We start from the raw sequence: 27,541 nt of genomic DNA, 5'->3' as shown, positions 1-27,541 counted from the left end.
TTTGCTGGCCTGCACATGAGTTCCTTCATATCTAGGAAAAATCGTTGCACCACTGTCATCCCCTTAATTTGATTCCTCCAAAGATTGGATTAAATGGAAGGTGGGGGCCAGGCGCAGTGGCTCATGCCTGTAATCCCAGCACTTTGGGAGGCCGAGGCGTGCAGATCACCTGAGATCGGGAGTTCAAGACCATCCTGGCCAACATGGTGAAACCGCGTCTCTACTAAAAATATAAAAATTAGCCAGGCATGGTGGCAGGTGCATGTAATCCCAGCTTCTCAGGAGGCTGAGGCAGGAGAATCACTTGAACTCAGGGGGCAGAGGTTGCAGTGAGCTGAGATGGCACCACTGCACTCCAGCCTAGGCAACAGAGTAAGACTCCGTCTCAAAAATAAAATTAATTAAATAAATAAATAAATGGAAGGTGGGGAGCCAATTTTTGCATACCCCAAAGAGAGTTAGTAGTTTAGGATGAATAAACAATAAACATTTTAAATCTCTGAGACCCCACCTTTTGTTAGCTCTGTTTTCATTTTTTTTTTTTTTTTTTTTTTGAGACGGAGTCTCGTTCTGTTGCCCAGGCGGGAGTGCTGTGGCGCGATCTCCGCTCACTGCAAGCTCCGCCTTCCGGGTTCACGCCATTCTCCTGCCTCAGCCTCCCGAGTAGCTGGGACTACAGGCGCCCGCCACTGCGCCCGGCTAATTTTTTGTATTTTTAGTAGAGACGGGGTTTCACCGTGGTCTCGATCTCCTGACCTCGTGATCCGCCCGCCTCGGCCTCCCAAAGTGCTGGGATTACAGGCGTGAGCCACCGCGCCCGGCCCGTTAGCTCTGTTTTCTTAACAGTCAATCTATTCTTCAATCTCTACCAGATCCTTAAAGAAATTCAATGAAGTTGGAAATACTGTTCTCACATATATTTATTTTACTTAAAATTTTCGTTTTTCTCTAACTGGAAATGTTGATAAGCAGCTTTTGTTTGTTATCTTTATTACAACCAGAGAAGTCCCCAAAGAAAATATTGTGAAGATAATTCATTCTAAGTAGATGTGATTTGAATCAGCTTTAGGCAAAGACTGGGAGCCTGCCTTCATTTTTATTGGAACATCTTGGCCTAAACCTAGCAACTCAGAGACATTTGGATTAGGCAACTCACACAATACACTTATCCTTCCAGCAGTCACAGATGAGTTGGCTGGAAGTAAAGAATATTGCAAGGAACTGTGGTAGTTTAATACATCCAGTCACTTGTGCAGGTTATAAGAAAGGGCTTAAGAGTCCCGCATTCCACTTCTGGAACTTGGATTTCTTTTTAAGAATTTTATCTTGACAGCTGGGAAATATGTTTGAGATGATTGCTCTGTTACAGGCTTTTGAATTAAGCACAAAAGCAAAAGATAACCAAAGAAGAAACAAAGAGGCAATTAGGGTGAGACAGAAATTATTATTGCTGTGGCCTGGCACCAAAGCCTATAAACTTTGGCTTTCTACAATGGGTTGCTCTGTAAAATCTATCCAACAAAGTGTATTGAAATACATTGAACTAATTTCTTTCTTTCTTTCTTTCTTTCTTTCTTTCTTTCTTTCTTTTTTTTTTTTTTTTTTTTTGAGACAGAGTCTCGCTGTGACCCTCAAGCTGGAGTGCAGTGGCATGATCTCAGCTCACTGCAAGCTCTGCCTCCCAGGTTCACGCCATTCTCCTGCCTCAGCCTCCCGAGTAGCTGAGACTACAGGTGCCCGCCACCATGCCCGGCTAATTCTTTTTTATTTTTAGTACAGACAGGGTTTCACCGTGTTAGCCAGGATGGTCTCAATCTCTTGACCTCATGATGTGCCCACCTCGGCCTCCCAAAGTGCTGGGGTTACAGGTGTGAGCCACCACACCCGGCCGAACTAATTTCTTTTCTTGTTTTCTTTCCTTCCTTCCTGCCTTCCTGCCTTTCTTTCTTTCCCTTCCTTCCTTCTTTCTTTCCTTCCTTCCTTCCTCCTTCCTTCCTTCCCTTCTTTCTTCTTCCTTCCTTCCTTCCTTCTTTCCTTCCTTCCTTCCTTCCGGCAGCCACAGTGCAGCCTACTTTTGGATAAACCTGAGAGTTGTTTCTAATAATTTTGGCTTTCAAAAGATGGCACCTGTCTGTATCCAGACAGAGGTTGTAGCTATTGAATGGGCCTTGGCAGACAGCACAGCCAATCCATTTGTTTTAGCTTTCTCAATAATCAGTGAGTATCACTGCAGGCTCAGTTGGTCTGGCTGATTGATTGTAAAGACAGCCAAAATGAACAGCTCGACCATCTCACAGTCTGATTTCCCTGCCATGTATTGACCCAGTCCAAGTTACTTATGTTACAGTATTTGCAAAGCTGTCACTGTTATAAAACACTTACTGGGAGCTTGCTATTGACAGGGGTTTTATGACAACCTAGAAACCAAACTAGCCCTGGCTTGTTTGAGTTTTGAATTTTTTTTACATTAGAAGAAAGCTATTTATTAGACATCCACACATTCACACAAACATAGCAGTAACAACAATGAGAAAACAGCTCTTTCTGAGAATTCTCTTTGATGTGATTAACTGGGCAGAAACTGAGAATGAAAGCAGATAGAGAACAATCTTTGTGTTTTGTGTGTGTGTTGTTTTCTTTCTTTTAATCTGCCTTTATTTTAAAAATCTCAGAATGTGTGGAGTGGGGACCAAATCCCTGGGCCCTTTCTTATCTGAGAAGAGGAAGTGCTGGCATCTGCTGGTATAGGCAGGCACTGTGCTTAAGCACAGGTTGTCTCATTAACTCAGGAGATGACCTGGTCTGTCTGGAAACTGTCTGCATTTCAGACTCCTTAGCTGATTTACGGTTAAGGCAAAATGGGTCGTTTGAAATTGTGGAGCCAGCGGTTTGCTTTCATTCGTCTTTAAAGCCTTCAGTTGAATTCAGGACAGATCAGAGATCTCTCCTTGCACTAAATAAACTTCTAATGATACTGATTGAGCTCCTCAGATGGGACACTATGGGAATGTGGGAAACTCAAGGCCCATTAAGTCACTGAGCACACTTAGTTGAAATTATGATACTCTGGTCACCCATGGCTAAATGAAGACCAGAGGTTTAATGAGTTTACCAGGTTAAAAATGTGCCCGTGTCAGGCAGGAATCAGACTCATTAATTAGGGCTCCACTTAATTATTGAGCAGTTTTACTTACCAGCAGTCCTTGGGGGTGAGCTGGGGGATGGACTTAGTGATAGGGATGGCCGCCTTTGCTCATGGCCAATTATGAACCATTCAATGAGGGTTAAAAAGGGGCAGGGAGTAGCGAGCAAAGAAATTTTACCAGTTTTTGCCATTGACCACAATAAACTTGAACATTTCTAAAGTCCTAGCAGTTTTACTTTTGAAACTGATTGGGACCTTGGGTGACAATCTTCTCTACTGTATTTGAGATGATTCCCAGACCACAGACAATCCCTAAACTGCCAGTCTACTTCTAAAGCTACAGCTGATGTGGAATAGGAACTTGGCAGCCTCCTTTGGAAAAGATGGAGTTTCCTTGGTGCCCAAGTCCCTGAGGGATATATGGATAAAACCAGTTTATTCACACTGTAATGGGAAGAAACCTCCATTTTAATTATCAGCAGCTAGTTGAGAATTGGGAACTCAAAGTGTGGGCTTTGGGGAGATCTTGGCTCTGCCTCTTGCTGTGAGATCCTTGAGTCTCCAATTCTTCATCTGTAAATTAGGGGTGGTCACTCCTAATTCAAAGGAGTATCGTGAGGATTCCATGTGATGATATAGTAAGGTACTTAGTGTCTGGCATTTACTAAGCATGCCACAAGCAAAGGTAATTGCTGTGGTCTACCCTGAATAGCAAAGGGAGAATTACCCCTTTTCACTTCTGGTTTCAACTGTGGAAATTAATGAACATGGAAAAGGGGAAAGGAAAGATAAATGCAAAATGCATTGGGGCATTAAGTCTAGTGAACAGCTGCAGGAACTGGGTAATTGTTTTTACACGAAAGGAGTCCATTTCCACAGGCGTGCTGTGCCCTTCCCTGCTCAATCTTTTATGTTCTCTCTCTCCCCTCCCTCCCTCCTTCCTTTTCCCCTCCCCTTCCCTGCTAAGGAGGGAGTGTATATTCCTCCACCTGCTTTTGTGCTAGAAGAGCCTGGTCCTGCTCATATTTTCTTTATAAAACAAAGGCATCTTGTCCCTGATTCAGGAAAATCACAAATAAAATTGTCCCAGCCGAGTCTGGATTTTAATGTCTTTTATGCTCGTATAGGACACCTCAATGCTGTGGTGACCATGCTAGTGTTCTGATTTTGCTGTCCGGATTCTTTAATTCAAAGAAAAGCAGATGAGATGTGTATGATGTGACTGATCAAGACCACTCTGTATGCACAAAAGAGATGTGTGAAGACCAGTTCATCCAAATTAGAGAGAGATTACTGATAAGATACATACAGGGTGAATCAAACAGAAGTTAGGCACCTTTTTCTTCAAATAGAAATCTGACTCTTTTAAGTCCAGCAATTTAGAATGGTCCTTTTTTTCCTGTAACTATCAAATAAATACAGTCTCACACAAACACACATCATGAACAGATTAACGAAGACAAATCTAAGTGACAAAAGGCTTCTTAAGTTCCAATTCACCTCCAGCCTCTTGGCACCTGCATGCGCATTATACTGGAATGAACATCATGCCTCATGGTTTAATAGAAACAAAGGGATACTGAAGCTTCAGAAAGGCACCGTCCCATATGGGATGTTGCAAAGGGGTAAGACTGGTGGAAAATGGCGTTTACGTCTTGAAATACCTTCCTGACAATGAGAAGAGGATCCTATTATTAACTAAAATTTCTTTCAAACCTATATTAAACCATTATTTCTTAGTTGTACTTGTTTTGATAAGTCAAATTCATTTCTTTTCACATCCTGCATCCTTCCTTTTTTTTTTTTTTTTTTACTACTACTTTTATTCTAGATTCAGGGGGTATATGTGCAGGTTTGTTACCTGGGTATATTGCATGATGTTGAGGTTTGGGCTATAAATTGATACTACCTCTCAGAATTCTTCTGAATCATTTGCTGACATTGTAAGTGGCTTTTAAACTTTGATTTTGCCGTTTTTGAGACTGTTTCTACTAAGACTTTTTGCTGGAAAAATTTGAGCTGCTTTGATTACTTAAAGAAGGTCTTTCACTTACCTTTGCTTTTTAAAGTTGAGTTGGACCTAGGTGCTGAGCATTGTACCCAAACGTTAGTTTTTCAACCATTCCTCCCCTCCCTCCCCTGCCTAGTAGTCCTCAGCATCTGTTGTTGCCATCTTTATGTCCATGATTACCCAATGTTTAGCTTCCACTTATAAGTGAGAACATACAGTATTTGGTTTTCTGTTCTTGCATTAATTTGCTTATATTCCTCCTTTGAATCATCTAATGTTTAAATTGGTAGAAAAATGTGGTGTTCAAATTATGCTCCTTGAGAGCAGGGATATTTTAAAAATCATTTTTCTATTCCCAACTTCTAACTCAGTGTCTTACATTGAGTAGAATATTAACCACATTTTTGATGAATGAATGAAGAGATAAGTTGGAGTAGCTTTCAAGTATTAGTGAAGAGAAAAGGCTAAATAGCTTTAACTTTTTAAAAATAAAAGGTAGCATCTTTCTTATTTGAGACACTGATGAAACTTAGAATGTTGAAAATAATACCATTCTGTGTCTTGGGTCAGAAATACAGATAGATTAGCAGAACATTAGCTGCAAAGTGCTCTCCTAATTATTTTAGAGAAGAGACACAAATGCACTCTTGAGTTTTCTTTTAGTATGATTCTTGCTAGCAACTAATAGTGCATTTTGGGCAGTTGCAGGGCTCAAAAGCAGTATATATACTGTAAAACAATTTTAAAAAGCCTTGAATTATAGTAAAAAGAGAACTAATGAAAAGGGACCTAAGAAATATAATGAAAATAAATAGTTCTTCCTCTTCCAACTTCCCTCCAGGGAGCAGGTTATGAAAGATCGCTAGAATAGTAGAATAGTGGAATAAAATTATTCCAGGGTAGAAAGTAATTAGGGGTGAGTACATGAAAGCCCAGGTTTAATTGTTCTTTTTAATACAGTGAAAAAAGTCATTCATCATACAACTTTAAATGAGTGTCCCATTAATGGAGTATTCCCCCAATGGAATATTATAAATTAATATTTTTATATGTCCTGTAATTATTCTCTGAGTAGCACATTTGTAGGGCACTGCACTTAGAGGTATGCATTAAAAGCATTATCAGGTAAATGTCATCATTTAAAATATACCAAAATTGTTAATATTGCATTTAAGCACTTATTTTTTAATATTCTAAGACCCTCATGCAGATCAACAATAATTTCTTCAGCTTCTGAAAGGATCTATTTCTTGCTCTAATCACTTCACTCCCTGATAGAGATTTCTAGGTTTCTCTAGAATGTTCATTCGGGGTCATTCTTTGGATCTAACCAGTGGAGGAGATAGTGAATTTTGTTTACAACTTCAAGTCTTTGTTGGCTCATCGGCGCCTGTAGGCTACACAATAAACATCCACGACTTCCCTGCCTTCATTATGGCAGCAAAATGTGCTTTACTTTCTCTTACACTAAATTCTTCTAGAGTAAGTAGGGACTTTGTGAGGCACATGACATCTTCCTGGGCACAGTGCCACGTAGACATAAATGGTGGCCTTAGGATACTTTTGAAGATCTGATTATAAATATCTTCTTGCTGCTAAATACTCATCTGAGATGGCAATTGTGTTCGCTAGGTTAAATTAAGAATGCGATGCGCTGTTTCACCATGTTAAGCTGTCTTTTTCTTTCCCTAAGAAATTCCCATATTCTTCTGCAGTTAGTATAAATGTACCCACCACCTGGATTGTGACTTGAAATGAAGTTTCCTTTCAAATTCATCCTAGAGGAAATGTGACCTCGATATCACCTGGACATAAGTCCTGAATCAGACACTGATTCTCCATGTGACCTTGGACAAGTTATTCACCCTCTCTAAACTTCAGTTTCCTCATCTGTAAAATGGCAATGATAATAGTACTTGAATCTTTAGTACTTGAATCTTTGAGACTTATTGGGAGAATCATAAGTTAATGTTCACAACGTGTTTAGCATGGATGCAGTCACTTATAAATGCATTCTCGGGGTTTAGAATTATTTCTTCCCCAGCTCTGCTGTTGAAAATTACTAAACAAGATATTTACTCTTACTGAGTTTCAGTTTCTCAGAGGGTTGACAAAATGAGATAAAATATGCATAAGGCTTGGAAAATTATTCAGGGCTATGTGAAGGCTTGCAAAATGCCAACCAAAGTGAAGAGTCAGAGTAGTAAATAAAACATAATGTAAGATTTTTTAAGTCCCTAAAGTAATTATTCATTGTCTAAAATCCCTACATTTTCATATTTTATCTTTTGAGGGAAATCCTTATTGTATACATAAATATGCATATGTATACATGCACATACACAGGCCACAAAGTATCCCTTGTGGGATTAAACTTCCTAGTACTGATTCCTTATAGTATTTTCTTGTGTTTATCATGCATTTAATGGAATGGAAACAGAACGGTCTGGCAGACACATTCATCTAATAATCCAGTATCGTGTTATTTACAATATCTCTAGTAATTTTATTAAAAAGTTATTTGTCATGTGCTTCTAGTAAATGTGGAATTACAAATACTACATTGATGGGCATTTTAGCCCACATGTGTTTAGAAGAGGTAAAGCCACCCTCGTTTCTACAACTCTCTCTTTCTCTCTCTCTCTCTCTCTCACACACACACACACACACACACACACACACACACTCCCAGTCCTCTACAAAAACTGGTAAATAAATCTGGTGGCTTTCAAAAGCAGGTGCTTTTTGGTAGTGGGTGGAGGTGGAGTTTGAATATGTGATGTTTTTATATTAACTCAATTACTAAAGTAGGCTTTGAGAAAGACAGAGAAAAAAGTTAAGACCAGACAAAATGGAACCCCATAAAGGGTTGTGTCATCAAGCTTGGAGTCAGCTCATCAACACTAAACATGCTGATGAATTGGAAAATCAGAGAAGAAGGCTTCAAGTTTCAGTCTCAAGGGATGGGTTGGCCTTGGAGATTTATTTTCAGATTTTTTTTATTTGTCTCTACTCCATAGTAAAACTTGGGTGGGCAAAATTCTCCCCATTCCAGGGACCCCATATAGACTGTTGTAGAATTTTATGGGACTGATACTCTGTTCTTTTTTAGAGGGCCATTTATGACCAGTGTCTTTCCTCCTCTCAGCCAGTGTACATCAGTCTCTAAATCTTCCTCCCCCAACCTTTGAAGATTTATGGCAGCTTTCAGCCAGGCTTGGCTTAAAGCCATTGACCTCTGTGGCCTGCGTTATTGACCAGAACACAGCATCTTCTGCCCACATAATATATGTCTCTTTATCTCCCTGAAAGGAAAGGAAATGACTCTTGGAATGGCCAGGAATACAATAAAAATGAGAGAGCCTTTCCCATTTTGTTGTCAGTGGCGTTTGGCTTTACAAAAAGCCACACTGAAATCAGCATGTGCATTCAGCAGTGCTTTGAACTGTGCATTGAGAGGGCACCCTTGGGAGCAGGCATTGTAGGCCAGAAGCCCATCCCATATAAAATCACCTTTTTGTAACTTCTCACCTTGAGTGTGAGTGCAACAAATGGCCCTTTGTCAGCAATCCTCAGAGCTGAATCTATAAACTCACTGACATAGTAAGCCCACAGAGACACGTGTGGAAAGCACAGTAGGAAAACAGATTCCACAAGCCTTTTGGGGTTGGGGGTAGGGGTGAGGGTTACAGTGTCAGAAAAGGTTGAATTTGGGAGAGACATGAGCACTCATGTAGTCCAACCCCTAAAATTCTACACGAGGAAGTTGACACTCAATAAGAACATACAATTTACCTAAGGTCACAGAGTAAATAGGTGCTAGGAAGGGAGCCCACCTCTAGGCCAATGTATGAAGTACAGTAAGGCTTCAAATGTTCACCTAGCCTTGTTTATAAAAGTACCCCCTGACTATTCTGTACAAAAGTCATGTGGCAAGGCTTATATGGAACAGTTGGCAAAAGCCTCTTCTGTTCCCCTGTTTGGATTATTAGTTCCACAATCCCATATTCAAGAGCTACCAGATGCCTCTTAACTACTATGTTCAGACAGGAGCTGGGAGTGTCCCAGAGAAAAACCCTAAAGGAAAACAATGCAAGCGGTGCCACTTACAGCTTTGCAGCCTTTGATGAGTTTTTTACTCTGCACTTTCACTTCCCCATGGGTGCGATGGGAATGGGAGCATCCCCTCAAACCCCCAAGGGTGTCGTGAGAAGTGAGATAGCTGGTACAGAGAAGTGTTCAATCAGTTGAAGTGCTATTGTTAAAGCCTGGGGTGGAGAAAAACTTGGAAGCATGTGCTACTGCAAAACACACTGTGTGAGTTGGAGCATTTTATCTGAGTGTGCCAGGGATTTCTGGAGAAGGGATTTGGCAGAAGTCATGATTTTAGCATAGCCGTAATTCACTAGGGGCTGGCAGTTTATTTCTACCTACAGCATTATAGTCACGTGCTGCATGATGACATTTTGGTCAACAACAGACCACTTGTAGGACAGTGGGCCCCTAAGATTATAACGAAGCTGAAAAATTCCCATCCCCTAGTGATAGTATAGCTGTGGAAATGTCATAGTGCAATTACTTTATTTTTTACAAATTTAGTGTAGCCTAAGTTGACAGTATTTATAAAGTCTACCGTTGTTTACAGTAATGTCCTAGGCCTTCACATTCACTCACTACTCACTCACTGACTCACCCAGAGCACCTTCCAGTCCTGCAAGCTCCAGGCGTGGTAAGCGCCCTGTACAGCTGTGCCATTTTTTAATCTTCTCTGCCATATTTCTACTGTACCTTTTCTATGTTTAAATATGTTTAGAATCCAAATACTCATCATTGTGTTACAATTGCCTACAGTATTCCTACAGTAACATGCTGTACAGATTCATAGCCTAGGAGCAATAGGCTATATACCATATAGCCTAGGCGTGTAAGTAGCTATACCATCTAGGTTTGTATAAGTATACTCCATGATGTTCACACAATGATGAAATCACCTAAGGACACATTTCTCAAAACCTAACTGCTTTGTTCTCAGGTTTAGAGGGCCAAACACTTAGGTGGCACTATACTCATTCCAGAACACCAGGATATGCTTATATCCTCCATTCTGTTATGTACACTAGAATCCAGAAACAAGACTACTAGAAGAAGACAGATATCACCTACATATTTATCTGTGTGATCTGCCATAATAGTTACGGACATGAAAATAAAGTTAGTGGGACTAAACAACAGATACCTTATGAGTTTTTCCATTCTCCATTACCATTTGTTTATTGCCTATTTGTAAGATATTTTTAGTTTTGGGTTTTGTTGATTTCTTTGTTTTTTGTTTGTTTGTTTGTTTTGTTTTGTACATAGTCTCAAAAAGACAAGCTGTAGCGGATGCCAAAGTTTTAAGTAAAATGTGCGGAGCAAAATGTTAAAATGAGAAAATTCTATCTAGCAACTTTTTTTCTGGAAACTTGGAAAATATATACATTATTAAATTGTAGCAATAAAACATCTCAGTCATCTCAGTTTACAAAACACCAAGGATCCATGGAGCAATTAAAGAATCACTAGAGGGTTAACAACAGAGGAAGTCATATTTCCTAGTCATTGAAGTGTTAAAATAGGAAAAGAGACCTGGAGACTTATAGGTCTAGGTGAGTGTTAGTGTCTTACCTAACTAATAACATTAGAAATGTGAAGCAGAAGGAGACTATTCCAGAGTCCATAGTCAACTTTTTAATTTAAACATTTTAATAAACCATACCTCTATTAATCACCATGAAATTTCTCTTTCAAACTGAAAGGAAGTGTCACAGTATTGGGAAGACAAATGGTAGTTAAAACTATTGTCCATGTAAGTTAAATGGGGCTGTAAAAAATGTCTATCCAGTTTAGAATATCTTTCAGTTTTCTCAGACTTTTCTTTTGGGAAATAGTATATTAAAGAACCTATCAATTCAACCTTTAATATTGAGTTTCTATATCATGTTTTTTGAAATGAATGTCCAACAGTGGGCAACTGGCTAGATAACCTAAATATACACCAAAATGATGGGTTATACAGACTTTTAAAAAGATTTTCTGCAAGAATATCTAATGGTATGGGAAGACAGACACTGGTATTAAAGGAAATCACAGTCTATAAGAGTACTATAAAATATTATTTCATTTTTAATCTATACAGTATAGAAAAGACTCACTAATAGTTAATGCTATTAATAAATGCAATATTGTTATTTCTATTCTGTACTGTTTTTATACTGTTCTGTTTTCTTCTTTTCATGTATTTTCATTTTTAATAAACATATTGCTTTTGTAATAAGCAAACCACAATTGTTAGTGTAAAAGTTATATTTGACTTTCTGTGCAATATTATCTAATTGCTGAAGTACCAGAAATACAACATTTCACCTATAAGGCTGTCCCCAACCATATACATCCTGAAGACAGCATTAGAACACAGCTTTGCTATCCAGAGAGAAGCACAGGAAATGTGTATATGTAAATATAGTTGTGTTCATAATAGCACTTCGTTTGCATAGACACAAATATCATAAACAAAATATCTGTCTCTCAATTATTAGGATACATAGATATATTTCAACAGACAACATTGATTAGCTGTAATCCGGGTGTTCATTAGAAAGTATAGTTTTAAACTCATTTTCAGCTGATAATTTTCAATAGCTCAGTTGAGAGAAATTCTATTTGAAATTTTTAAAGTTAAAAGTAACAATTCTGCTAGTACAAAACTGCATGTATCTTTCAAGATATTCCAAAATCTATCCCTATATCAAGCAAGGAGCTGAGTTCTCATGGAATTATTTATCTAAGTTGCACTTGAGTGTGACACCAGCAATCTGGGTTGAGAATTCTAAGGGAAAAAACAAAACGTGAAAACCATTATTCTGTACATTTCAAAGACATTGTTGAGGATGTTAATCATCTCTCCATGCCTTCTTTAGGAAGACCCCTGGAAGAAATTTCATTCTGATATTTTAATAGCAAGGAGCAGCCAAAATTCTCCCAGTTGGTCTGTTTTCATCTTGTGGATATTATACATGGACTGACCAGGGGTCCCTCTATAATTGCTCTGGCACAGCTCAGAGCCAAATGTGTGGCCCAGCTGCAGCAAATGTGTGAATCAATGCGGTATGTGTTTTTAGGCCTAATTCTTGACTCAATTTTATGTTCCTACCATATTTTCCTTTCTCCTGACTTTTTGGTTTTTGCTTAAAAAAAATCCACTAAAGTAATACATATGTGTGGGAACATACGAGTGAGGACAGAAGAATTTAAGGTCTGAAAAGCAGCAGCCTCTACCTCTCTGCTCTCTGCCTCCACCCCATCCCACTCCCCAGATTCAACCTCTTTTAACTGTTTGTTTTTGGTTCTTTTAGCAATTACCTCCATAAATCTAGATAAGAGGCTTAACCTCTTTTTCCCCATTTATCATCTTGAGATAATATCTCTAGACACCTTAATATGAAAAGGGGAGGATTTAGCTCATTTAATGTAAGTTTCCTCCTCCACCTCCAAATGTTTTATATTTGCATTATTACTTTTAGTTCTTCTACAGTTCATACCATTGCAACTTTAAATAATATATAAACCTGTTAATCAGAGGCTCCCACTCCAGCTTTCTAATTGTTTGTACTATTGTAAGTTGTCTCATTTTACAAAGTGAAGAGGCTGAGCGCCTGTAATCCTAGCACTTTGGGAGGCTGAGGCAGGTGGATCGCTTGAGCACGCGAGTTTGAGAACAGCCTGGGCAACATGATGAATCCTCGTTTCTGCAAAAAATACAAAAATTAGCCAAGCATGGTGGTGTACACTTGTAGTCACAGCTACTCTGGAGGCTGAAGAAGGAGGATGGCTTGAGCCTGGGAGGTCAAGGCTGCAGTGAGCCCTGATCATGTCACCCTACTCCAGCCTGGGAACAGAAGGAGACTGTGTCTCAAATAATAATAATAGTAATAAATCGAAGATAACTAACAACACAAATTCAAGAAGAATGAGGTCAGCAAGTCTTCATGATGAATACGAAAGTAAATAGTTAAGGAGTCCCGAAAAATATAAAGGATGGTAATACAGGCTAAGTAGGCCTCTGGTATCACGGTGGGCTCTAAGGTTTATTATGGTGGCAGCCTCGTTTATGGTTAAATTTAACATTTGAGCTTAAGCTGATGCTTGAACAAGTTGCAGACATGTACCCTCATACTCAAGTGAATTTCTTTCAAAACTCTTTGTGATTAAAGCCTTAAGTTTCAAAATTTGTCCTTCCTAAATATTTTAAGGCACTTATTAAATCTTCCTTCTTTCCTTTAGAGAAGCTTTTTCTCCTCGTCTCCTGTTGCTTCTCATGTGGAGATTGCTTCGAGGGCTCAGGGTAATGGATTGGGTTGACTTCAGTCAGTGGGATGAGGTTTACAGGTCTATCTCAGTGAACACCTCACCATGTTTTAACTTGGTGGTTCCCTTCCCTATGAGTTCCTCACACTAGGACACACATCAGACACGTGGGGGACCTGGCAGAAGAGCATTCCTGACAGCTCTGGTAAAGGCAACGTCAGTGGCAGCCAAGGAACCTACCCTCCTATGCCATTCAGCACCAGCCACGCTTTGGACAGACAAGAAGCCTCGTCCTGAGGACACACACAAGGGCTGCTAATCAGGCAGCCACTCAGCTTGCACCCCAGGACAGGTGAATGAGTAGGGTGGTGATTGAATGAGGAATCAGGTGGCAGCTTTGTTTTGTTTATTTTTCTCAAACAAGACATTAGTTTATATTATCTACCCACTCCCTTTCAACCCTGCTGCTCTTAAGTGCTGGGTTTTTTTTGTTTTGTTTGTTTATTTGTTTTGTTTTTTGGTTTCAGTTCTTTCAGATCCTCTTCAGCAGCAAGGACTTTGTGCCTACCAGAGGCTCTTAAACTTTAGTATGCTTAACAATCATCCAGCAAAGTTGTTAAAAAATATACATTTTTATGCTAGAACCCCCCTGTCTTTAACACACACACCCCACCCCCCAATCCCGATTTCCAATATAGTAGGTCAGGCTGGAAGCTGGGGGATCTATTTTTCACAAGCAACCCAAGTGATGCAAACGCAGGCACAATATTGAGAAATATTTTCCACCCATCCTGCCCCGTGACTAAAGGGAGAACCAACAACAGCACCAAAATATAAAATAAAATAAAATAAAATAAATAAATAAAATAAAAATAAGTGGTAGTGGGCCCCCACAGAAAGAAATCGATTCCTCCTTTCCCACGAGGAAAACAAAGTTCCAGAGGCGCCAAGACGCCCATATCTCAAGGCCATGAGACCCCTGCCAGCTCTCCCGCCTCCAAAACTCCAATTTAAAATCTTTCTCTTCCACCACTCACCGCTCCTCCTTTCCCTGGAGGAGAAGACAGAAACGGACTCGCCACGCTTGCCCTCCCCGCCACGCCCCGCTCGGTTCGTTACTCTGTAGAGGCTGGCGACCAGCAAAAGAGAAAGTTCCCGAGCTTTACAACTCTCCGGGAAGCGTAGGGAACGTTTCCTCTCGGAAAGCTCTTCGCCGCGATTTTCCCAGGGCTGCACTTGAATGAAACCCCCAAAGGAAATTACCACTTAAATGAGGCAGGAGGTGCTGGCTGCCTGTTTGGCCTCTGCTGTGCACGCTGCCTGGCAGGCAGCGCAGGAGGCTCCGGAGCCCCGCCATGGGCGCGCACGGTGCACGGGGGCCGGAACGGGGGTGCGCGGGGACCTGGGAGCTGCAATGGGGGCCAGGATTTGCTTGGGGTCCTTGTGGTGCGCGGGAGCCCGGGGGTGCGCGGGGGTCCGGGATACACTCTCACACCGGTGCAGGGCATGTGTCTCGGCCCATGGAGGCCGCTTTGGAAAACCGACGCTGAGACATGAAGCCACCTGTTTGCTTCCTGCCAAATCCTTCACTGGCCTGTTGGGAAGGGGACGGATAAAATGATGGGCCTGCTTTGAGGCCCGGCCACCCCGTCTTGGAAACTGCCCTAATAAGTGCAGAGACCTCTCAGAGAGCCAGGCTGTAGGCGTCATAAAAGCAAGAACAAGATCTGTTTTAGTTTGCTCTGAAAATCTGTTTTAAAATTAAGGTATAATTCAGATACTATAAAATTCGCCCTTTTAAAGTGTACTATTCAGTGGTTTTCAGTATACTTAGGAGGTTGAGTAGCCATCACAACTAAGTCCAGAACATTTTCATCACCCCAAAAAAGAAAGCCCTCTGCTCATTAGCAGTCACGCCCCCATTATTCCTTTCCTGCATACCCCTAGCATACCATTAATCTACTTTCTGCCTCTATGGATTTGCCTGTTTGGGGAATCTCACATAAATGGAATCATACTACATGTGGCTTTTGTGCCTGGCATCTTTCACTTAGGATAAAGTTTTCAGGTTATTCCCATGGTCGCATGCACCAGGACTTTATTCCTTTGTATTGTGAAACAATATTGCATTGTATGGATATACCACATTTCGTTTATCCATTCATCAGTTGATGAACATTTGGGTTGTTTCTACTTTTTGGCTATTATAAGTAATGCTGCTACGAAGATGCATGTACAAGTGTTTAAACAGACATGTGTTTTATTTCTTTTTAATATGTATGTAGGAGTAGTATTGCTGGGTCCTGTGGTAACTGTGGAATCTTTTGAAAGGATCTGTTTTTACCTGTACAGTTGATAGCCCACCCCCGGCGCGTTCTTTGACAAGTAGATGAATGAATTGAATGGATGAATGAATGAATGAATGAATGAATGGAACTAAGAATCAAATAAATGAGATTATGAGCTTTTGAGTGTGAAAGCATTTTATACTTTATTAAGAGCAATACAAGTGGGATTTACTGCTATTCTTAAGTGATGATATCAGAAGTTCTTAACTTGTGATCTAAGGAAGAGCTACAGGACACCTGTGAATCCCAGAAGTTGTATATAGAATTGTTTGAGTATGTGTGCAAGTACCGTTGCTTTTAGATCAGGCAAGAGGGGTACCTTAGCATGCCTTACTCTGGCTGTGCCCCTCTCTACAGGACATGATGTTCCAGAGGTCCAAGCAAAGTGCCCACTATAAGCCTGCTTCCTCCTTTTTTGGCCCATGGTTCTGCTCCTAGAACCTGGGAATTTTCTACCTAAAGAGCTCAAGCCTCTTCCCCAAGTCCATCCTCCCCGCAGCCCCCACCTCCTGCCCCAGGGCTGGGAAGGCCAAGGATGAGAAGGCCACCACTTTCCAGAGAAAAATTCCAAGGAGTCCAACAATTCTATATTTGAACTTGGCCTTCCAGCCTTAGGTTCCTTTGAAGGACTTAAAAGGGTGAAACCAGTGATGACGGGGGAATCTGAGAGTATTATGGACAGAGTAGGACGGGGTGAGATGAGGAAAAACCTGTGGCATAAGGTGTATGGCTCTCCCTTTGTACGCTTGTCCCAGGCCTTATAACTGATAGGAAAGGACCTATGCACATGTATATTTTTTCAAAGAGAGGGTATTGTAGGTGTCAGACTCACAGTGGCCTGCAAAGTCTGAAACACAGTGGCAAGAGTTGAAAACTAAAGACAGCACCAGACTAGAAGTCAGAAGTTCTGAGTTCTAGCCCTCTTCTTCCACATACCCACGAAGTGAACTTAGGTAAATTCTCATAACCGTGAGTCACCCATACAATAAAATGGAAATAATCATAGCATACATTGAAAACTTCCATAAACCATAAAGGAATGCAAGATGTCATTTTAATAGATATTTCCCCACCTTGGTTTTTTTGGCTACAGCTGCTTCATTAGCAGGCCCCTAAAATTATTAATTCAGGCTCATAATATTGCTACCAGCTAAATTTCACTATGATATTGAAGAAGCTCCACGTAAGACAACATTGGGCTACATAATTTGTATAACATTATTCGGCAGTGAATTAGTGGCAGTTAAAAAATATCTACCGGAATTTTAACGATCCTTCCCAAGCTTTCATCTCTACCCAACACACTCTCACCTAAGAAAAAGAAACCAAGACCATTTCAGAACAAAAATATTTTTCTTACAACTTTGACTATTTAAATGGTTTCCTTTTTCTCCTATGGTTCGGTACTATTTTTTAGAGTTTTACTGCATGAATTTATTCTAGTATTTGTTTGTTTCAATACGCTCATGTTTAATGGGACCGTATTGTGGTATGCGAATACATGAGAAATTTCAGCTGTTGACCATGATGGCTGATGCATAATGGATGATTTTTTAAATTAACAAAACTAATTCTCTTTCTACATGGGAGGAAAAAGTAAGACTCAAAACTAAAAATAATAATAATAATAAATAAAATTAAATTAAAAACCCAGTTCAGTCTATAATGTAAAATAGCCAACTCAATATTTTATTTCTTTATTCAATGAATTCATTGTTATTATTTATAAATTGTATATAAGGTGAGAGTTTAAAGAACATAATTATTCTGGTTGTTTGTGCTGTTGTTTGAGGTAGGGTGACCAGCTGTCTTGTTTGGCCTGGAACTGAGGGGTGTTGTGGACATGGGACTTCCCATGCCAAATATGGGACAGTCCTGGGCAAACCAAAATGTTTAGTCACCCTAATTTGAAGATAACATGTACCATTTTGCCTGTGATTTAAATATAAAAGCCTTGGTAGATTTTTCAGTCAATTTAGATGTTCTATTGTCTACATCTCCTTTTTGGTAAGTGAATAAGTAATCTATGTCAGTATGATGTTTGTATACTTTAAGTAGAACAACAAAGGCATAGAGAAAAAATAATAATTTTAACATTCTAAATAGATTTTTGTGTGATCAGAAAGAATTGTGGGTTTTCTCTTGTTGGTTTTATGTGTTAAATACATTATTTTGTATATGGTTATTGTGAAAAAAATCTATTTTTAAATTACAGTATTGAATGTGGAAGTTACATGATTTTTTACTTCCTCAATTATAATAACTCTTTCTGTGAACTTCCACTTTGATAATTATCAGTCCAGTTTGAATGCCTGACTGATCAGGACTGCAACCTGACCTTCCACACCTTTTGATTGTCTTACTTGGCTGGAAGGATGGTCTTGTATCTGTTGGTGTTGATTTTAGCTATTGATATTGTCATTCTTAAGTGTTTTTAATTTTTGTTTAATGAGGTTTTGCTTCCTACCCTTTTAAGTAACATTCTATGGTTATCATGATTATTTAATGTCTTTTCTTGGAGGTTTCAATCACTATTGGTCATTGCTAGTGTCAATGAATTCTGCTAATGCCAATCCTATATGGAAGCACAAAGGTTTAGTAATCTATGCTTGACCAATTGTGGGATGCAGTAAAATTAATAGTTTCCCCCATTATTAATCTTTAAAATAAACACAGGCTAAAAGAACCAGAACACTTGGATATAAATCCCAGCTTGATCACTCTCTAGCTATCTGAATGTGGACAATTACAGCAAGTCTCTGGCACCCTGTTTCCTAGCTACAAATGAGAAAGTTGGACTTCATCAGGGATTCTTAACAGAATTCCTGAGTGGTCTGCAGGGGATCTGTGAACCTTCCTGAAATTATAATACCTTTAGTAAATATGTCTGTATGTGCAGCCCCCTCCCCAACAGCATCCATTGCTTCCCACAAATTCGAAAGCAGTCCTTGTCCTAAGAAAGATTGAAAACTTCTGAGCCAGATGGCCACTGAGAAGACTCTAGGGGCAGTATATGATGTACAATCATGGGTCACTTCATGATGGGGACACAATCTGAGAAATGCATGGTTAGGTGGTTTTGTCATTGTGTTACACGAACTTAGATGGTGTAGCCACCTACACACCTAGGCTGTATGGTATAGCCTATTGCTGCTAGGCTACAGATCTGTACACCATGTTACTATTCTCAATACTACAGGCAATTGTAACACAATGATAAATATTTGTGTATTTAAATACATCTCAATGTGGAAACACTAGAGTAAATATATGCTATAGAAGATTTTTTAAATGGTATACCTGTATGGGGCATGAATGGAGCTTGCAGGACTGGAAGTTGCTCTGGGTGAGTTGGTGAGTGAGTGATAAGTAAATGTGAAGACCTAGGACATTACTGTATACTACTGTAGACTTTATAAACACTGTAAAATTAGGCTACACTAAATGTATAAACAATTTTTCTTCAATAATAAATTAACCTTTGTTACTATAAAGTTTTTTACTTTATAAACGCTGTAATTTTTAAAATTTTGACTTTTTGTAATAACACTTAGCTTAAAACACAAATATATTGTATAGCTATACGAAAATATTTTTATATCGTTATTCTATAACCTTTTTTCTGTTTAAAATTTTTAATATTTTTTGCTTTTTAGACTTTTTTGTTAGAAACCAAGACACAAACATGTACATTAGCCTACACAGGGTCAGGAGCATCAGTATAATTGTCTTCCACCTCTACATCTGTCCCACTGGAAGTTCTTCAGGGAAAATAACATGCATGGAGCTGTCACCTCCTATGATAACAATGCCTTCTTCTGGAACACCTCCTGAAGAACCTGCCTGAGGCTTTTTATAGTTAACATTTTTTTTAATAAATAGGAGTACACCCTAAAATAACTGTGAAAAATATAGTACAGTAAATATACAAACCAGTAACATCGTCATTTATTATTATCAAGTATTACGTACTGTATGTAATTGTATGTGCTATTCTTTTTTACAACTGGCAAACAAGTGAGTAATGTGTTGCTCTACCACATGCTGATGGCTATAATGTCACCAGGCAATAGGATATTTTCAGGTCCTGGGATCACCATCATATATTTGATCTGTTGTTGACTGAAAAGTTGTTATGCAGTGCATGATTGTATACATTTTAAAAAATCATTGTAGTCAGCCTATTTAAGACAAATTCAGCAGACTCTACTAAAATTCCCTAAATGAAGACTGTGAATGGCTTGCTAAGAGTCCATGGGCATCTTGGACTTCCGGCTGCCAGAGAGCTGCACGGGTGAGAGTCCAGGGTAAAAGGAGTGAAAGGAGTTCCCTTCAGTCTTGGGCTGAGGAATTTGGAGTTAACCTTGTTAGAAGCAGACTCAGAAACTACCAGATCATCTAGAAAGGGTGTTTATCCCCATCTTTGGGGGCATACAGGTTATTCTCCAGACAAAGCGATACCCAACCATGTCTTGAAGGATAGTCAGAGTTAGCCAGATCCAGAAGGATATGAAGGAAGAAGAAAAGATTGTGTGCAGATTCTTGGAGGTGCAAGAACACCTCAGTCAGCTAGGGAAGGGTGAAAGCTCAGTGTGGTCAGAGGGAGACTTGCAGGTCAGGAAGTTAGAAAGATGATACTGGTTAACCACTGAATCCTGAAGGCTCACAGCATGGAAGGGTCCTTTTTTCTGTGTTAAAGAATTTTATTTTATCCTGAAGATAAATCCATGGTAAGATTTTAAACCAAAGACTAATAGAACCAGACATATTTTAGAAAGGTCATTCTAAGTTTTTGGCAACCTTCCTAAACTTCTATTTCCTCACTGGTAAAATGTGAATCAGTGCAATGCCTACCTTATAAAAGGGTTCTCAGGATTACATGAAATTGATATAAATTGCTGAGCACTGTACTCAGTTAATTTTGATGATTGTAATTATTATAAATCCCAGTTCTCACTGGTCTTTTCTTCTGACTGGAACATGAACTACCAAAAACGTTGGGCTAGACAGGGTAAGATGAAGAGTGAGCAGGGAGCAAAAGAACAAAGAGAACCTCAGAGGGATTGAGTGACTTTCTCAAGGTCACTCAGCTATGAAGAGTATGAGCTGGGACTTGCTCCCAGGTCTGCCTGCCTCCAGAGCTTACACTTTTAACCCCCTACCCAGAAACCTCTCCTTCCACCTTTTTAGACTCTAGCTGTATACATCATTTCAGAATCTCCTAGAAACCCTGCAGTCTTTTCAGAGAGACAGTAACAATTCCCTTTTAAAAGATAAGGTTTTTAGCATCTCCATGGCCTAGCCCAAATTCTGAGTGGGCAGCCGCTTTTCAGTTTAGAAGGTATCAAGGGTTTGGAAAGAACTAGAACCTGCTTCTTGGCTGTGAGAGGAAAACCTGGCCAGGCCTCTGAGAGTCTTCCAACAAAGCCTCACTCTCTCTGTGTAACCAACCCCTAGGAGACCCCAGGATGAAAGCCTGCCTGGTTTCTGAGGTCGCTGGTGTGGGGCCAGCTCCAGGAGTGAGCCGAAGACCTGCCTCCTTGCTGCTGCCAGGAAAACAATGGCCCAGGGGCCCCCAGCCAGGTGCAGCAGACCCTTCCAGGCACACAGGCTCACAAGTGGCAGGCTTTTTGTGAGCTCCAGGAGTGCCAGGCAAGAGGGAGGGAGCTTTGGTTTGGTTTGGTTTGGTCCCTTACTGAGCTTAGTGCATGGGGCTTTCAGGAGATCTTGGGTTTCAGTTCACACCCCATTGGATTTCACATCAACCTGAAAACTCACGGGGACAATCAGCTGAAACAACTGAGTTTGGTTGGCTCTCCCGTCAGAGCCATAAATCACACGGTTGCCACTGAGGAAAAGAGGAGGCGAGACGAGAAACTTGGCCCATCCTGGTTCTAATTTATCCCAAGTACGTGGGGGGTGGGGGAATTGTTGTAAATGACAGGGATTTTCATTGCACAACTGCTTAGGTTTTCATGATGAAATGTTTCTATCATGGCACTGAGGTGTGTTTCCTTAGAACTAGGTTCTGCCTCATATGACTAAGATGTCAATTCTAGGCCCAAATTCATCATCATCATCACTCAGAGGTACTTTATATGGTCAAACATTGTGCTAAGCTCTTGACTTTCATTAGATCCGCAAGTGAAGTAGGTGCCATTTATTATCTCCATTTTTTGGAGGAGGAAACTAGGCTTAGCTGGAAACTCAGCAGAGCTGGGATGTAAACCTAGGCAGGCGAGCTTAAGCACTGGATAGAGTGCGAGAGAACTTTCTAGCCCAAGGCACAGGCAGCTTCTCTTCACAAGGTTCGTAGAAGGGGCTAGGCGACCACAGGTTGGGGACTTACGATGCCGGCTGGAGTGTGGAATTGCTGATGAAGGTAACATGCTAAGGTCCAGGCTTCCAGGACTCTCTGCCAGGTCCGGCTGGAAGCAGCAGAACTCTGTCCTCTTCTGCTGCTGTGGAAGCCCCGACTGGAAATGCAGCTCTGGAGTCTCCCTTTCTCTTCGTTAAATCTCATTAACACTTGTGGGAGTTACGCCCCTGCCTCAAGGAGAACACAGACCTCTAATTGCTGTGAAAAGAGGCCTGGGAAACCCCGTTCCTCTACCACCCCTGACTCTGGGTCTCCTCCTCCTCTGCTCACCGCTGGCGGGGGCTCTTCCAGACTCTGCAGCCCTGGCTTGGTCCCCCAGATTATTAAGTCATTTGTAAAAATCAAACTCATGTGCTCTCCAGAATGTCTTTAGGTCAGCTATCACAACAGCATGGTCCTCTGAATTTTTTTCCCGGGTGCATACAGCAAATGGCCAATCCAAGTGCAGTGTAGAGAGATGGCAGGTCTGCAGTCTGTTTGGTCTTCATCCTCTCTGGGGAATCTTCTTTTTCTCTCCCAGTACCACAGACTAATATTCTGATTCACATTCTGTGATGCTGCCGTTCCTTCTTTCTTTTGTTTTTCTTTTTTTTTTTTTATACCTGCATAAACAGCAATGTCCCAAGCTATGTAGACCAGAGCAGTAAGCCAGTGATGAGCCGTGAACACCTGGACACTGATTGGATGACATTTGCAAAGAACTGGGCGAAGCATCTGGGAGCGAATGCTTGCGCTTGGCAGCAGAGCGGCTGGCGCGGGAGAGCCAGGGTCATCCCAAGAACTCTGTGTGATCCCAGTCCAAGGACAGGAGACAGGGCTTTCCTTGAAGGGAGGTACTGAATGAAAGGTGAGTCACGTAACTACAGCGGAGCGAAAAGGAAACAGAGAATGGTGAAGTCAAACAAAGGGGCAGGAAGAAAAAGAGACAACAGCGTTCCTCCCACCCTGCAGGGAGAAAGGAGCCGCCGCCATAACCTCAACTCAGTCCTCTCCCGCCATCTAGTGGTCATGCTTAGTGACTGCAGCACAGACTACTAAGGGGAATCGTGACACAGGGAGGTGTCGGTGAGATCGCTACCTTATGGCCTGAAGAGTAGACATACTCAACACAAAGGGTAACTCGAGCCAAAACCATCACCAGGAAAACAGGCCCTTTTCTGTGGAAGGGCTTGTTTGTTTTGATTCGAAATACTGTGCAATTAAAGAACAGATGTGTGTCTTGCTCAATCTGCAGGTTAATGGAGGTTGGCTTGGAAATTCCCCAGCCCCTAGCAATTTCTTTAAAAAGGATTCACGTGTGTAGCACACGATTAAAATCTCTGTCAGGAAAAGCCAGTTTTTTATGAATAAAGACTATTTGTTACTTCTATTTTCTGACACAATCCAGAAGCCAAACATTCCTTACATTTTGAAGAGGATAGAGAAGGAACCCTGTCACATCAGATCCCTTGTCTAGACTCCACTCCCTAGTCAGGGAACCTCAGGTTTTTATCCTCCTCTAATAATTAGCTTTCCTGTGAAAAATACATGACGCAGGTTCTGGTCAATTTTTTTTTCTGCAGATTTTCTTTCCCCATTCTCAAATACGAAATATTTGAAGTTCCCAGTGACCAAATCTTGGTACAGGTGTTGGCTGATTGAATTATAAAATGTAGAGCTTTTTGGCAGCAAGAACTAATGTGTAAAGAATAAAACATATATACACAAGGAGTTACAGCTTCACAAATATATATGTCTACCACAAGTAATTGTGCTTACCTATGCCAAAATTTTCACATGTATTAGATTCTAAGAGATGACAAAAAGATCAAGTAAATACAGCCTGTCAACATTCCTTTTTGTCTGTGCCTATATATATGAGATGAACAAAATTTGTAGATCTAAGCAGCAGGGTGCTTTCTCCAGGTTCCTCTGCATTCTTTTCTGGGTCACTATAAATCTATATATCTTTGACTGGATATAGATAAAGGTGCAGCCTAGACCTGTCCTTATAGAGAACGTCTGATGTTTGTTTGTTCTACAGCACATCTGTGCAGGTCTGTGGGGTCACCAGTTATTCTGGGAGTGATAATGTAGGCTCCCTTATGTAAGGCAAGCTGTGTTTTACTTTGGTGCTGGATGCCAAGGGTCCAAGCATGCTATAGAAAATTCCACTTTGATGCATTGACTGCTCTGGGGCCAAAGACCCCTTAGAATTGACTCTACTTGAAGCCTGACTTTCAAGAGTACTGAGCCTAGAACAGTCAGAAGAGCTGGGTTCATTCTGTCTGTGCTGCATTCAAAGGCATGATTAAGAGCCAAATGAGCTGAAGGATAGTAATTATGGGGCAAACAATAGACTCTCCCAGAGACAGGAGAGCAGGAAGATGCTAGGCAGTTTGGTGGTTACTTTGGTGAAGAAGTCATTTCACTTTGTCCTGTGTTTTACCCTCAGAGATTCAGTCTTCTTTTCTCCTCCTTTATTCACCCTGGGCCTAACCTTAGGAAATTAACATCTGCAGGCAATGAAAAGTATTTATTTTGAGCCATAAGACATGGGATCCTTATTTGCTCTTAAGGAGGAGTCACACCCTCATGGGGTCCTTACTGGCTCTTGAGGAGGAGCCACACCCTCAGTGGCTTCTGCTGGGTAGATATCTGGAAGCACTGATCCCACTGATGGACACAGCTGACTAGATCAGTGATGGAAACCTGACCAAGATGACATTCTAGAAGCCACAAGGGGTGTAAGTCAAGAAAAGGGGAAAAGCAGGGAATAAGGTAACTGGTAACTGCAGGAGAAATGGGGTGGTGGACTCCCCCAAAAGCAGCCATAATGGTAGAGCTCTAGCAAAGAGAAACACTGATATCTGAGGCTGGGGATGACACATCTGAAATTGCACAACCACCCTAAACAAGCTGTCACATCTCAGCTGACTGAGAAGGACATCCTGGCTACTCTCATTTTTGTTTTCCTTACTCCTCTGCAAACAGTTTGATAGTAACACCCATTGCCTGAACCAACTGGGTATATATCCATGTTCCTTAAAGAAATTGTACAGCCAGCTGCTCTGCTCCCTCACAGGCATGACGGTGGCATAACGGAGTGAACACAGTGTAATTTCTGTTTGTTCATCACCCTTGCTACCCACTTCCCTTTAGAAATGATCCAACTCTCTGTAATCTCAGCCGTTTGGGAGGCCGAGGCAGGTGTACCACCTGAAGTAAGGAGTTCGAGACCAGCCTGGTGAAACCCTGTCTCTACTAAAAATACAAAAATTAGCCAGACATGGTGGTGCACACCTGTAATCCCAGCTACTCGGGAGGCTGAGGCAGGAGAATCACTTGAACCTGGGAGGCGGAGATTGCAATGAGCCAAGATTGTGCCATCGCACTCCAGCCTGGGCAACAAGAACAACTCTGTCTCAAAACAGAAAAAAAGTAAAAAGAAAGAAATGATCCAACTATCTATTTATTTGTCTTTGTTGGGGGATGTTTGGCAGATCACATTCTCCAAAGGTGACAACAACTATATCCCCATTTCATATGTTCTTCAACAATGTGAACTTGTCATTCCTCCATGAGTGGGGTGGGCTTGTGACTGCTTCAACCAAGAGCACAGCAGAACTGCGGCAATGTGGCTTCCAAGGTGGGCTAATAAATGACAAAGGACTGCTTCTTGATGTGTGGCTGGGTAGGTAGGGAGTGGAAAGAGCCAGGTCAGGAAAGGTCCCAGGGCGCAGGGGTGGCTGCTTTTCCTCATCATGGCTGGATACCATGCCTCCTCCATTCTAAGATACTGTATATTTTAAAAGTATTATCAATTCAATGAAGACTTTAAAGGAACAGAGTCCCACCACCTCAATGTTAAACGTGTCATCTATTATGTGATGCATTAAAGGAAACATTAAAATATGAAAGAAATTCATGAAATGCAGGAAAGTATGGTAAGTCCTTGGGTGTCCTTGGACATCTTTCAGAACATTCTAACAGTCTAAAGGATGGAAGGCTTCTAGGCCTTATAAATCCCTGACCTCCCTAGTGTGTGCCAGCCATGCCAATTTATCCACTAGGCACAGTGTGGAGGGCCCACAATACTTTTAAGGTCCCAGAAAAATGTCTAAATGTCTTTATTTCTTTTAACATTTTTTTTAAAAAACTGGTAGGTTAAATTAAATGTTTTATATATATAAATATATAATATTTAATATATAACAGGAATATATTCATCTTTAGGCCAACACACTCATAAAAATATAATTTTTAATATTTAAGATATTTCATGTAAATATTTATAAATATTTAAAAGTTAATATCTAATGTGTTTTATGGAGAAAAATCCTCATGCATTCAAGTTGTCTCTGATCACCTGAGACTCAGACATGTACAAGCTCCTCTTTTACCCTCTCAATATCCAGATCTCAAGGAGCCTCTAGGAATGAATCCCAGAAGGGATTTTTTTCCTTTCAGCGCTTCCATATTTGGAGTCTAGGTGGCCCCATTGCTCTAGAGTTAGCTGTGTGATGGGCTGTGATTTACAGTGACTGTTAGGATGCTCGCCAATCCCTCCTGTGAAGCAGGCAGAGGTTACTGCTTTCAGTAGAGACAGTTCAATGTGCACAGCTGGGAGGAGGCCTGGGATTTTTCATAGCTGTCATTCTTTTAAACCCTCAGTCCCCAAGGATAATCCCATGGAAGGTAAAACCTGGCCATTTTCAACTCTGCTTGAATTATTGAGCATGCTGGGCATGAAAAAATTTAAATGTCTAGGAAAATAAATAGGGTGCATAAAAAGATTTTATTGCATGTCTGCAAATCAGAGAAGAACACTAAATGGCTGCTTTTAAAAAACATCATAGGAATTCCCTGCAATTTGGTATGAGATCTCTTGGCTCCCCTGAAAATCATGGACTCAAATACTTAGTGACAAACTATCAGAAAAAATAGAATTCCCTGAAGCTATTTCATACTTAGGAAGATGGCTTATGGAATTTTTGAGTGAAACAATAAATTTTCCACTTTCAGAATCTTTAGGCTTTTAGAATCTAAAAGACTGGATGGTTGCTCCTGAAACAATGGGAACAGGCTGATGCATCCAACTTTATTTTCTCTAGCTGCTTGGAGAAGGACGTACATGCAAACATGCATGAACAGAAGTAGATGAATCAAGGTACATTTTAAGACCACAAAAACCCACTCATAGGATTCTTGGGAAGGAGCGTCATTTCTTATATTTCTGCTTTTAATTTGTCTTACATCAATAGAGACTTCTTAACCCTTTCCCCCTCTCTTGGCCACTTTGAAAAGTGATTTGCTCCTATCACATTAAATTCAAC

The 27,541-nt window shown here is 40.6% G+C and overlaps 1 protein-coding gene across 1 annotated transcript in view, besides 3 other annotated features; it reads left to right on the top strand.

Moving 5' to 3' along the window:
- SLC24A2 (solute carrier family 24 member 2) overlaps positions 1 to 27,541 on the top strand; it is an 800,438-nt gene that overhangs the window by 358,494 nt on the left and 414,403 nt on the right. The window lies entirely within an intron of this gene.
- Positions 22,919 to 23,028: an enhancer, noted in NCBI's record as "active region_28225". NCBI's record gives its function as "activates an Ori minimal core promoter by ATAC-STARR-seq in GM12878 lymphoblastoid cells {active_cell/tissue: GM12878}" and the evidence as "EXISTENCE:reporter gene assay evidence [ECO:0000049][PMID:35858748]".
- Positions 22,919 to 23,248: a biological region, named in NCBI's record as "Sharpr-MPRA regulatory region 6135".
- Positions 22,954 to 23,248: an enhancer, noted in NCBI's record as "tiled region #6135; HepG2 Activating non-DNase unmatched - State 4:PromP, and K562 Activating non-DNase unmatched - State 12:CtcfO". NCBI's record gives its function as "activates a minimal TATA promoter and a strong SV40 promoter by Sharpr-MPRA in HepG2 and K562 cells {active_cell/tissue: HepG2 | K562}" and the evidence as "EXISTENCE:reporter gene assay evidence [ECO:0000049][PMID:27701403]".

Source organism: Homo sapiens, chromosome 9 (genome assembly GCF_000001405.40).
Source record: "Homo sapiens chromosome 9, GRCh38.p14 Primary Assembly".
Classification (NCBI taxonomy): domain Eukaryota; kingdom Metazoa; phylum Chordata; class Mammalia; order Primates; family Hominidae; genus Homo; species Homo sapiens.
This window is presented reverse-complemented; position numbering and strand designations above follow the sequence as displayed.